This window comes from Homo sapiens (genome assembly GCF_000001405.40).
Source record: "Homo sapiens chromosome 14 unlocalized genomic scaffold, GRCh38.p14 Primary Assembly HSCHR14_CTG8_UNLOCALIZED".
Classification (NCBI taxonomy): Eukaryota; Metazoa; Chordata; class Mammalia; order Primates; family Hominidae; genus Homo; species Homo sapiens.
Window position 1 is genome coordinate 1 of NT_187381.1, and position 14,347 is coordinate 14,347.

General features: G+C 42.0%; 1 long non-coding RNA gene across 1 annotated transcript; it reads right to left on the reverse strand.

Moving 5' to 3' along the window:
- Nucleotides 1-3,702: 3,702 nt before the first annotated feature.
- LOC124905324 (uncharacterized) lies at nucleotides 3,703-14,313 on the reverse strand. Its single transcript, XR_007068537.1, has 2 exons — nucleotides 14,114-14,313; nucleotides 3,703-5,295 (listed from the first exon to the last, which is right to left on the reverse strand). It is a non-coding gene; the product is annotated as an uncharacterized LOC124905324 (long non-coding RNA).
- Between the last annotated feature and the right edge of the window lie 34 nt (nucleotides 14,314-14,347).

A 14,347-nucleotide genomic window follows, 5' to 3' on the forward strand; every position in this document is an offset into this window, starting at 1 on the left:
GCCTTCAGAGTTACAAGGCTATATCAGTTTTCCACGATTGTTTCCCCTTTTTGTTGTTGGTTATTTCCACCTTTATTTTATATGTTTTACTTCTCTTTCCCCCTATTTTCTTTATTAATGGGATGCAAGACTTCACAGCATTTGAAATATAGGTAAAAATGAGCTATCCTAACAAACTGGGACCTATTTATCAAGGAATAATCGGTCCTACCCATGAAAGATAAAACAGCACGGGAGACCAGAGACAAATTTTTTTAGTAAAATACATTCTCTGAAAGATTTTGAAAAAGAAGAGGTGGGGAAAGTGTGAAAGGAAAATAAAAACTTGTGATTTCAATTCATTATGTCATGAGGGGAAAAAAAAAACTAAAAGATGAGTCATGCAAGAAACTGATTTTCCTTTCATTCCTAAGAAAATAGCTACAGATAAAAGGTTAAATAGTTTCACAGATAGCTACTATTTGTTCATTTTTGAAACAGTGCAGGAGAACGACCTAATTTTCTATTTCCCTATGTGCTTCTTTTCCATTACAACATGTAAATTCTCATACGGTCCTTCTTTCCCCTCTAGCCAGCTTTTCCCTTTTATATATTGAAAGCTCTAAAAACCGTCCTTGGGAGAACGGCACTGACCACACACTGTTTCTGTGATTACTTTTACTTTTCTTCCAGGCATGTCCTAACTTTGGCAAAATTAATTTTAATTTGATTGACATCTGTCTCAGAAATCTTTGATTTGCACTAGGAAAGATGCCAAATTAGGAGCCAGTTACTGTAAAACTCAGCCATACCACTGTGCGTGCATGTGTGAGTGTGTGTGTGTGTACATGTGTGCTTTAATTTTTGTGGGCTTTAAGCCATGTCGTTCTCTCTGTGAAGATACGATTTGGCGTGACCTTTGAATAGAGAATTCTAAAATAAATAAGAGTCTCCTATGAATTCTGTGAAAATTTCTGGACTCACCAATGATCTTGACTGTGTCATTGCATCTGACAGTCCCAGGGAAGAGACTCTCTGGTGGTTTCATAAAATCTGTGCTTGGGTTCCCCCTGCAGATTACTGGGTATAGTGATGCCAAATCACTGTTTAAGAGACAATTTCAAAACATAAGATGCTGCTGAAAGAGCATTTTGAATCAGGGGACAGCCCCTTCATTGTGAGAGAGCGACATTGGGAGAATATGCTCTGTGAGCCCAAACAGCATCCTCTGCAGGGTGAGGGCAGAGCGGCAGGGCAAGCCCAGAGCCCACTCAACACAGATGTCAGCCCTGGAGCTGCTGCAGAGGAGTCTGAGGAGAAAAATTTTCCAGCACCTGAATTACACTTATTTCAAAACGAAAATGCAATTAAAAAGTTAAAAAAAGTAATTAAGACACAGTGGCTTACACCTATAATCTGAGAAATTTGAGGCTGAGGTTGGAAGATTACATGAACCCAGGAGTTTGAGATCAGCCTGTGAAAAATAGTGAGGCTTCATTTTTATTTCTGAAAAAAAAATTAACCCAATGAGTCAATGAGAACCAAACTTGAAAAAAGAAAATTTTAGAGTTTTCATATATCTTAATAGTTGGAAGATGTAGAACAAAAATAATTTTATCAATTCAATGTGTGCAAATACTGAGAGACACACTCATGCCCAGAATTCAACCTGCAGAGGGCAAAACCCAAAAAAATGTAGAGGTTGTTAATGTTCCATTTGAAGGTGAGATCATTTTGAGGACCATGTCCTGTGAGAGTCTGTTTCTCTATTAGAAGAGTTCTGTACTCATAAAGTTCTGGACATGCCAGGAGACAAATATCAGTAAACAAACATCAGAACTTGAACTTCAGCTTCCCACTGTGGCATTCTCCATGTGTCATCTCTCTAGTATTTCTCATGCTAGATCAGGTCTTTAGCTATGAAATATTCCTCCTAATTAATGTAAATAGCTTGAAGTCTACAGAGTTAAATATGTATATTTTCTCCTGTTTTTCTCAGTTCTTCCCTCCCACAGCTCCAATATTCTCCACTGTTATCATCACCTTCTGTATTGCCATGCCCTGCAGGTTAAGGATTTGTTTCCATGACCGAGAGGAGGTACAGCTCCATGGAACTTTGGTGAGAACCTCTGTTTTGATTTCATTTCCTCTGGGGCTCCACAAGTGCCTGTGGAAGCATGGTTTCAGTGGCTTGCCCCTGCAGGGTAGATAACTCCTTGATTCTGTAGTGCTAATGAGGGATTTGGTCTGACTGCATTTCAGAAGTATGGGTTCTCCTTCTCTCTCAGAAAGACACTTTGGGAAAGGAAGATTATTCTGATTGTCCCCATTCTAGAACAAAGGGATTCAACTGGATAGGAATGCTGATAAAAGAAAACCTTTGGCCAAATTAAATTTAAAGGAGTTTAATTGAGCAATGGATGATTCATGGATCAGGCAGACCCCCAATCACAGCAGATTCAAAGAGACTTCAGTGCAGCCACGTTGTGGAAGAAGATTAATATATTTTTTTAAAAACGATGTCCAGAAATCAGAAGTGAGGTACAGAAAAAGGTGGATTGGTTACAGGTGGGTGTTTGTCTATTTAAACACAGTTTGAACACTCAAGAGTGTATGAGTGGTTAAGGTATGGCTGCTGGAATTGGCCAAGGCTCAGCTATTGTTACAGGTGCGTACTCCTAAGTTAGGTTTTCAACCTTGTCCCCCTATTCAGGTAGGTTACAGTTGGTCCACAAGGATTCAAACAAAGAAGTAGGGAGTCCTTCTCAGGCCATATTTAATTCACTTTATCAGTGCCCTTCAGCATATGGTTCCTGAGAATTTCACACTGCAACACGTTTACCACACTGGAATTTAAGCAATCCAACACGTTTGTAGCTTTATCTTGTAGCTTTATCTTTCTATATGTCATGTGGCAGCTTCTTGCCTCAGTTTAGCTAACACTGTGGCTTTGTTTCTCTCTACAGGAACTTGTTTCTCCCAAGATTTCCATGTTTGTGAAAGGAAAAGAAATCTTTGGGACCCCCAAATCACTAAGCCAAAGGGAAAAGTCAAGCTGAAAACTGTTTGGGGCAAACCCATCTCCATTTTTTTCCCTAAAATGATAGCTACTAAGGTTTTAAAAAGCTACACACCTCCTTCAAAATTTGACCCAAAGAAGAACCCTTGTGGACCAAGGACAGAGTCATTTCTCTGCTCACATAAGTCAAATGCATATCTGATTGCTACCTTTGCTCTACTGCTTTGCTAAGCCAGACTAAGGCCTACGTGAATATTCCTTTAATTGCACATTTAGTTAAAGGCTAATGAGAAACTCAAAAGAATGCATTTGTCTCATACCTACCTATGATCTGGAAGCTCTCTCCCCAGTTCAAGTTGTCCTGCCTTTCTGAATTAAATCAGTATACATCTTACATATATTAATTAATGTCTTGTGTCTCCCTAAATTGTATAAAACCAAGCTGTGTTCTGCCACCTTGGGCACATGTCGTCAGGACTTCCTGAGGCTGTGTCACTGGCATGTCCTTAATCTTGGAAAATGAACTTCCTAAATCTATTGAGATTAGTCTCAGATACTCTTTGGTTTACAGGTTTGTTTTCTATCGCATAACTTCCATTATCTGAAATATTAAAGAAAATTTGCCAAATAGCACATTCTCTTGTTTTTTGTTGCAAAAAGAAATATATTTATAAAATTTATATACAATTTATAATCTATGCACATTACCAAACTGAGTAGCATATTTATTATTAAGACCCAGAGTAATGAATAATTCAAATACCAATTAGCAACTTAATAGAAAAACAAATTATGCTACATTTGTTTGCTGAAATGCTACCCAGTATTTATGAGAAACACATACAACATAAAAGGTTTAATTTCCACTATTTCTATTGAGAAAAATAAGCCAAATAGATAACAGTACATATCATATTATTCATTCTTATAAATTCTAGAAAATAAAAGCTAGTATAAAGAAATATGAAAACATCAGTAGTTTTATAAGGAAATGGTAGAAGAAGGAAGGAGAAAAACCAAAAAAAATAATAGACCAAGAGAAATGCTGAGGAGAGTTGACTTGTCACCTTCTTTAAAATAGAGATTTTTTTCAAAGTTTACTATTGTACAGGGTAAATATGTGAATTTTATTATCTGTCAATTAAAACTCATAAAATTTATTGCAAGTAAACAGCTAAAAACTTAGACAAAAAAGGGATGATAGGAAGGAACAAATAAATATGTTAAATATCATATACACCAAATATTTATCTGCCTGACGCCTAGTTGTCTCTGTATTTTTAGGTAAATGCAGGAAAATTACACAGGTTCTCATGACAGGAAGTGGATTCTGCAAACCACACTAGGCCCATTTAGCTCTGTCCTAGAGTTGGTTCAGAGAGCAATTGAGGCCAGTTGTGAGGAGCATAGGCCCAGATACTGGGACTCACTCATGCCAGATATAAACCCATGAACACATACATAGCCCTTCCACGTGTAGGTTCACTTTTACATCTGTAAATGAAGAAACCACTGACTCTTAAATAACATAATTTATACACATAGGTAAAAATAATTAAAAATGTGATAGTTGTTAAATGTTTATCACAGAACAATTTCAAAATAAGGCAGCATTTTCCCAAATACAATCATTGTCACCAAAATCCCCCAGGACGCTCTCATCTGCTCTTGGCCCTGCCCTCTCCTCAGGCGTCCCACCCCTGAGCTTGCTATGTAGTAGGAGACATGCAAATAGGGCCTTCCCTCTCCTGATGAAAACCAGCCCAGCCCTGACCCTGCAGCTCTGGGAGTGGAGCCCCAGCCTTGGGATTCCCAGGTGTTTTCATTCAGTGATCAGGACTGAACATACAGAACTCATCATGCAGTTTGTGCTGAGCTGGGTTTTCCTTGTTGCTATTTTAAAAGATGATTCATGGAGAACTACAGATGTTGAGTGTGAGTGGACATGAGTGAGCAAAACAGTGGGTATGTGTGGCAGTTTCTGACCTTGGTGTCTCTGTGTTTGCAGGTGTCCAGTGTGAGGTGCAGCTGGTGGAGTCTCGGGGAGTCTTGGTACAGCCTGGGGGGTCCCTGAGACTCTCCTGTGCAGCCTCTGGATTCACCGTCAGTAGCAATGAGATGAGCTGGGTCCGCCAGGCTCCAGGGAAGGGTCTGGAGTGGGTCTCATCCATTAGTGGTGGTAGCACATACTACGCAGACTCCAGGAAGGGCAGATTCACCATCTCCAGAGACAATTCCAAGAACACGCTGCATCTTCAAATGAACAGCCTGAGAGCTGAGGACACGGCTGTGTATTACTGTAAGAAAGACACAGTGAGGGGAGGTCATTGTGTGCCCAGACACAAACCTCCCTGCAGGAACGCTGGGGGGAAATCAGCGGCAGGGGGCGCTCAGGAGCCACTGATCAGAGTCAGCCCCGGAGGCAGGTGCAGATGGAGGCTGTTTCCTGTCAGGATGTGGGACTTCATCTTCTTCCAACAGTTTCTCTAATGAACCTCTCTAATTTTAGAATTCTGTGGTTCCTAATGTCATCTCTACATATTTTCAAAAGATCATTTTAATATGAGGGCATAACCTCTCATACACCAAATGCACATTGATGTTTACAAAGATGAAAAGTTCTCAACCATTGTCACCAGGATCGCAGTCCTGAGGAAGCTCATGGGTGCCTGATGAGTCTCCTCCATTCAGGCCCAGGACAGAAACCTCAGGGAGACTCCTGGACTAGAACGGCAGGGATTCTGATCACAGCCAATAGAGAGGCTGAGCCAGGGTCAGTGTCCTGTAGGAGCTCACAGGGTTCAAGTCTGACCCTTCTCCTGACCCTAAAGCCAATCCGCATCAGCACTGATCTGGTGCTCCTTTTGCTCCCAATACATGTTCTTTCTTTGGAGTGTTTGTTTTCCCTTTTTTATTTGCTTTTCTTTCTTCCTGAAAAAGAAACACATGGTCTCTGTGGTCTACACTCCAGGGCTCAAGGCATTTTCTTAGAACTCAGGCAAGGCTCAGGCTTGGCTACTGCAGTCACATGGGAGGGGCTGATGGGATTTCCTTCTCTCCCCATATTCTCAGGACCCTCCTCTGTGTTGTGTGTAGACACATCTGGGAATGCAACTGGCCATTAATAGTGAAGGGGATAAACTCATTTGATCAAAATGGGATGTGGATGTGGAATTAACCCTGTTCTATGCACACTGTCAGAGTCATCTTCTTCAGAAGTAGTGTTAGAAAGAGCTTGTGAAATTTATCGGCAACAAAATGGATCCCCTTGTGTTAAAACCCTAATGAATGAAGCTGGGGAAGGCCATGAAGGAGGGTTCTAACACACATATTCCTGATAAGAAGAACTATCATAAATAGACTCTGCACAGCCACAACCTTTTACACAGAGGCCACCACAGCCTTAAAAGATTTATTTCTCCAAGTAAATCTGCCCTGCAACTGCCTGTTCAACCTTACACCGCTATCTCAAAATAGCTGCTGTCACCCTCCTCATTTTTCCTTAATTCTCTTTTTTATTATTTTTTAAATTATACTTTAAGTTCTAGGGTACACGTGCACAAAGTGCAGGTTTGTTACATATGTATACATGTGCCATGTTGGTTTGCTGCACCCATTAACTCATCATTTACATTAGGTATTTCTCCTAATGCTGTCCCTCCCCCTTCCCCCAACCCCCCTACAGGCCCTGGTGTGTGATGTTTCCCACCCTGTGTCCACATGTTCTCCTTAATTCTCTATCTTCCTTTTCCTACCTGAATGTACCCATACATATTTTAATTGAAACGCACATCCTAGAAAAAATATTATTATGCTTTAGAGTCTCTTTCTGTCTGTTATTCAGGTTGACATGACAAGCTACAGACGGACATGCCACTTTTCTGTGAGACATAGAGGATGACAGTTTTTGGAGATGTCTAGGAATATCCAATGTCCATAAGATCAGCCATCAATAAGTGCAGACTGGAGGTCCCAGAGAGAGGCGAAGCTGCTGAATCATCGTGGAATTTCATTTTCTCCAGTTCTGCTCTGATGGAATCAGGCACACCCGTTTTATCAATGACAATCTACCTAACCTAGAGTCAACTGATGACAGTATTAATATCATCTGTTAAGTAAATTCATAACTATATATATAGTGAGAGAGGGAGAGAGAGAGAGACGGAGTCTCGCTGTGTCACCCAGGGTGGAGTGCAATGTCATGATCTTGGCTCACTGCAACCTCTGTCTCCAGAGTTCAAGCATTTCTCCTGTCTCAGCCTCCTCCCAGTATCTGGGAATACAGGCACACACCACCATGTCCGGCTAATTTTTGTATTTTTGGTAGAGACGGTGTTTCACCACATTGGTCAGGCTGGTCTCAAACTACTGACCTCAGATGATCCACCCACCTCAGCCTCCCAAAGTGCTGGGCTTACAGGGGCAGGCCACCAAGTCCAGCTAATTTTTGTATTTTTAGTAGACACTGGGTTTCACAATATTGGTCTGGCTGGTCTCAAACTCCTGATCTCAGCCTCCCAAAGTGCTGGGATTAAAGCCGTGAGCTACTGTGCCCGGTAACATCACCTATATTAATGTTGGATTGAATAACTACAAAGTCTACCCTAACCAAGTGTACCATCAAACTTACCATTACCCAGAGGGAAGAATCTTTAACATGAGATCTATATTCTTAAATGTTTTAAGGTGTAAAACTGACCACTATACAATCATCCAATTATGATTTTGCTAATGAGTTGTAGAAGTTGCATGTATATTTTGGATATTAACACTTTTTCAGATGCACGGCTTGTAATTATATTCTCTTATTCTGTAGGTTGGAATTTCTTCCACACTTTGCAGCATCTTTTTGTTGTGATGTAGTTCTGCTTGTTCAATTCTGCTTTTATTGTCTGTGCCTTTAATTTGAAATATAGGAAATCATCCTTTTTTTATATTTTAAATTTTAGACTACCTGTGCACAACGTGCAGGTTTGTTACATATGTATACATGTGCCATGTTGGTGTGCTGCACCCAGTAACTCGTCATTTAACATTAGGTATGTCTCCTAATACTATCCCTCTCCCCTCCCCACAGCCCACAACAGGCCCCAGTGTGTGATGTTCCCCTTACTGTGTCCATGTGTTCTCATTGTTCAATTCCCACCTATGAGTGAGAACATGCGGTGTTTGGTTTTTTGTCCTTGCGATAGACTGCTGAGAATGATGGTTTCCAGCTTCATCCATGTCCCTACAAAGGGCATGGTCTCATCATTTTTCATGGCTGCATAGTATTCCATGGTGTATATGTGCCACATTTTCTTCATCCAGTCTATCATTGTTGGACATTTGGGTTGGTTCCAAGTCTATGCTATTGTGAATAGTACCACAATAAACATACGTGTGCATGTGTCTTTATAGCAGCATGATTTATAATCCTTTGGGTATATACCCAGTAATGGGATGGCTGGGTCAAAAGCTATTTCTAGTTCTAGATCCCTGAGGAATCGCCACACTGCCTTCCACAATGGTTGAACTAGTTTACAGTCCCACCAACAGTGTAAAAGTGTTCCTATTTCTCCACATCCTCTCCAGCACCTGCTGTTTCCTGACTTTTTAATGATCGCCATTCTAACTGGTGTGAGATGGTATCTCATTGTGGTTTTGATTTGCATTTCTCTGATGACCAGTGATGATGAGCATTTTTTCATGTGTCTTTTGGCTGCATAAATGTCTTCTTTTGAGAAGTGTCTGTTCATATACTTTGCCCACTTTTTGATGGGGTTGTTTGCTTTTTTCTTGTAAACTTGTTTGAGTTCATTGTAGATTCTGGACATTAGCCCTTTGTCAGATGAGTAGATTGCAAAAATTTTGTCCCATTCTGTAGGTTGCCTGTTCACTCTGATGGTAGTTTCTTTTGCTGTGCAGAAGCTCTTTGGTTCAACATACTCAAATGAATCAACATAATCCAGCATATAAACAGAACCAATGACAAAAACCATATGATTATCTCAATAGATGCAGAAAAGGCCTTTGACAAAATTCAACAACCTTCATGCTAAAAACTCTCAATAAATTAGGTATTGATGGGACGTATCTCAAAATAATAAGCGCTATCTATGACAAACCCACAGCCAATATCATACTGAATAGACAAAACCTGGAAGCATTCCCTTTGAAAACTGGCACAAGACAGGGATGCCCTCTCTCACCACTCCTATTCAACATAGTGTTGGAAGTTCTGGCCAGGGCAATCAGGCAGGAGAAGGAAATAAAGGGTATTTAATTAGGAAAAGAGGAAGTCATATTGTCCCTGTTTGCAGATGACATGATTTTATATCTAGAAAACCCCATTGTCTCAGCCCAAAATCTCCTTAAGCTGATAGGCAACTTCAGCAAAGTCTCAGGATACAAAATCAATGTGCAAAAATCACAAGCATTCTTATACACCAATCACAGACAAACAGCCAAATCATGAGTGAACTCCCATTCACAAGTGCTTCAAAGAGAATAAAATACCTAGGAATCCAACTTACAAGGGATGTGAAGGACCTCTTTAAGGAGAACTACAAACCACTGCTCAATGAAATAAAAGAGGATACAAACAAATGGAAGAACATTCCATGCTCATGGGTAGGAAGAATCAATATCGTGAAAATGGCCATACTGCCCAAGGTAATTTATAGATTCAATGCCATCCCCATCAAGCTACCAATGACTTTCTTCACAGAATTGGAAAAACCTACTTTAAAGTTCATATGGAATCAAAAAGAGCCCGTATTGCCAAGTCAATCCTAAGCCAAAAGAACAAAGCTGGACGCACCATGCTACCTGATTTCAAACTATACAACAACGCTACAGTAACAAAAACAGCATGGTACTGGTACCAAAACAGAGATATAGACCAATGAAACAGAACAGAGCCCTCAGAAATAATGCCGCATATCTACAACCATATGATGTTTGACAAACCTGACAAAAACAAGAAATGGGGAAAGGATTCCCTATTTAATAAATGGTGCTGGGAAAACTGGCTAGCCATATGTAGAAAGGTGAAACTGGATCCCTTCCTTACACCTTATACAAAAATTAATTCAAGATGGATTAAAGACTTACATATTAGACCTAAAACCATAAAAACCCTAGGAGAAAACCTAGGCAATACCATTCAGGACATAGGCATGGGCAAGGACTTCATGACTAAAACACCAAAATCAAGGGCAACAAAAGTCCAAATTGACAAATGGGATCTAATATGAAATTCTTAATGAGTTCTATAGTTATAAGTCCATTATTTCTCCTTATTAAAACTAATCTTTTTTGCTGAATGGGTGGAAGATGGTGGCTTCCCTCCAAAAGAAAACATAGTTGGTTCTGTAAAGAGTTCACCCATTTCTTCCACTATAGGCCTGCCCTGGCATAATACAAGCTCCCAACTTAAGAACTTATGATTTTCCATCCATTGGAGAAGCCATCTTTTCCATCTATTATAAAAACAGAAGACACTTCATTAATATCACTCCCACTATAGGCTATGCCATATCCAGTGAGGTAGGATGGCTGACAGTGGTGCGAGTCCAAGTAATTGGTCAAGCACTGCTATGTGTGAAGAAACACCACAGCATACTCTACACTGTCACTCATGATATGGAATTGTTGCCTCCTCAGCAATGTAACTGAGCCCTTAATATGTGGCTTGGATGACAAGGCAATGCCAGCCTGCAGAGTGGAACCTGTTCTTCCTTCTGGGATTAACTAAAGGCCTGTGGCACTCATGGCTGGCCCTACTTTCCTTACAACTGGACGAAACGAAGCAACTGGATATGACCTTATATCCCAGGATGTAACTGTCCAAAGTGCCTTCTCTTTATGTCAACTGGAAAAGTGTGAAAGACAGACACTGTTCTCATAAACGGACATCCTAGTTGTTCTGCCCACTAGCCAGCTCTTCCCCCCAGGTGGCAGTCATAGATTTAGAATTGCAAGTAGAGGCCCTGGCTAAGCAAACCACCAGTCCCTTTAACAACACCTACCATGCCATCATCATTCTTACTGAAGAAACCTCACAGATTTGACAAGTGACACTATGAAGCTATATGACCCTAGGTATTGCAACTACAGCCAAAGGTAACACTTGTGTATTAATGAACACTGAATGTTGCATATATATACAAGATTAGTCCCACAATATAACTCAAGCTATGCAAGCATTAGATACCCATATTTCTGCTAGAGATGGATGCCCTCTCTCAGGACCCTGCGACAGCATGGTTTAGTTGACTTCCTAACACATGGAAGACTTTCATATATAGTAGAGCTGGTATTCTGTTCATTGCTATCTTCAGTTGCTATGGATTTTATTGCTATCTTGCACTTTAAGTGAGAATGTAATACTGACCTTCTCAAAAACTCCTAGGTCCTTGCACCATAATGCTCCAACGAACACCTACTGTAATTCCGGAGACTCCAGAATATTTCCAACTCCAGTTTAATGGATTCCCTTCCAATACATACAACCTATGCCCTTTCTAAAGAAGTAGCCAGAATGACTATGACACATGTTTTCCATAGAAACGAAATGGAATTTGACAGTGGGGAATGATATACAGGCAGCTTAATTTCAAAATGCATTTTAAACTTAGTATTTGAGGTTTTAATATTATTTTTTATACTCCCTGAAACCTGAAATGTCACACTTACATTTTAATTCAGACTTAATAGCAACAAATAACCAGAACACATGAATTGCCTGTAATCTCTATACCTTGCATTGTAAGCCACATTTCAAGTGTAACCTTACTTGTCAGCACAGTATGTTTACCACAGGCATAATTGCTTGTCCTGACTGTCCAGAAGGCAGGGTGGTATTAAGTATGCGGCCTCTGCTGCTGGGAAGTCTGGCTTTGTATACCGTCTCTGCCACTGCTAACTGGAGGACAATGGGCCAGTTACTTCCTGTACCCCAGTTTTCTCATATGTAAAGTAGGGTTGTTGTAAGAATGAAATTAGTTAATATTTAGTACCTAACAACTAATAGGCATTACATGGTAGCTATTCGTATTGCTATCGTCAGACAACACACAGGAGTCCATTGTTATTTTTACCCTCCCCCTCCAAACAAAATGTGTAAGACACTAGACATGGTAGCTCTGTAACGGGGTTCGTCATGTATTAAACTGTGTACCCAAATGATATGTCAAAGTCCTGACAACCAGCACTTCAGAACACATCCTTATTTGGAAATATGGTAGCTGGAGATGTTATTAGTGAAGATGAGGTCTTACTTGAGCAGGGCAGGCCCTCAATGTGGGAAGATGGGTGTCTTTCTAAGTACAAGGAAATTTGGACACAGAGACAGAGACATACAGTGTGCCATATGACAGCAGAGGCAAAGATCAGAGTGGTGCAGCAGTAAACCAATGCATGTCCGGGATTACCAGTCACCTCCACAAGTGAGGAAAGGGCAAGGAAGAAGTCTCCTGAGTCTCAGAGGGAGTGCAGCCCAGCTCACACTTGATTTTGGACTTCTAGTCTCTAGAACTGTGAGAGAATACAGTCCTGTCATTTTTAAGCCACCCAGTTTGTAGTATTTCATTTTGGCAGCCCTAGGATATTCATACAGAATTCTTCACCCAAAAGGAAGCACTCTTTCACACAAACAGTCAAAGTCCTGGATGACAGACAACCTGGAGACTGCAAACCTCCAAGGAATCAAAGGAAGTTCTATAAATTCTAGGGGCCCCATCTTTCAAAGGCTGCTCCTCAAGTCCACACACACACTTTGGAAGGAGAATCCTGCTCTTGGACATGGGATCCTTAGTGAGCCAACTGCCAATAATCCAACATCGTCATGAATTAAAGATCGCTGACATTTCCTCTTCACCAAGGGGAATTCTGTCAAGTAGTAAGTAAAACCCTTCTTCAGTAATCTCCACACCAAACAGTTCTGCATGGCTTGGGACGCCTCAGGAAACTTATAATCATGGCAGAAGAAAAAGGGGAAGCAAGGCAGTCATACATGGTGGCAGAAGAGAGGTTAAACTTTTCTGTCTCTCTTGGGTGTAAAGATATAATCTTGAGGCAAACAGCAGAATCAATTTTCTTACGCCTTGAAATAGACTCCACCTTTCTCCCTTTCACCATAAATATTCCCTTCACATTAATCTAACTTTATGTTTGCATCGAACTATGTGCCTTTTTGGAAGTTCCGGAAGCTAATTTGAGACAGATAGACAAAGTCGGGAGACCCTGATGCAGAATTCCAGAGGTGACTTCAATGTTGCTAGTTAACAACCCAGGCATTGCCCAGATGATGCCAGCCCAAGATCTAGGTGGACTGGGATGCCAGAGAGCTGCCAGAACAAGACGCACAGACCTGGTTCTCAGCCCAAATCTTGCATGCCTTTCTTACCAACTTTTCCTTTTTTAAACCCCTGCCTTTCCTTCAAAATTCAAGTGGTTGCTTGGGATGGGAATGCGGTCACTTCCCCTTTACCATTATGGTTAATACAATAATCTTTGTACCAGATCTCTCTCTTGTTAATTGGATCCTGCAGGTGGCAGATTCCGGACCAGAGTGAGGTTAGAAACTGAATGCACATACTGGGTGGTTCACAGACACGGTGTTCTGTGAAGTTTATGGGTGGATTCCTGGGGAAGCCTGCAAGCCTGTTAGTGATTAGCAGAACCGCATCCAGCTACTGGGATCTGCACGCCAGGTGCCGTGAGCCCCTCACCATGTTCCCTGGTCCCAGCTGCCCGCGGATGGTTCAGCCTCGACAACGGGCTCGGTGTTCTGGGTGGTGGGAGAGCAAGGGGGCCCCTTGGGCAGCGTGCTACAGGGCTGTGAATCCAGGGGCCCACCCGGTGTTCCCTGTGGAGTCACTGAGGGAATGAGGGGCTTCTCAGGGCACAGAGCTGTAACGCCTTTGTGCAGTGGTGGCTGAATACAGTGACACTGGGCGCGTGGTGAGAAGCGGGGCAAGGTCAGTTCACTGAACCCTCCGCCCTGAGCCTCAGATGAGTCGGGGGTCCCCAGACAGGCCCGGCCTCTGCCCTGCGGCGGACACTGGAGCCTTTGCTGTGGCCGCCACCGAGGAGCCTTGACCTCAAAGCAGCGGGAACCTCTCTACCCACCTCGGAAACCTGAAGGCAGCGGCGGCCTCTCCCAGCCAGGACCTCGCCGGCATCCGGGTCTCCAGGCCCAACCCTGTACCACATAAAGGAAGTCCCCGCTGAGCTACCGGCGGGACACAGCGCCGTTGGGTGGGCGGGCGCGGCGGGGCGGGAAGCACCAGGGCAGCTGCCACAGAGATGCGCGGGGGCTGTCGGGAAGTGGGCGGTCCGGGAGACGCGGGGCTGATGGGACGT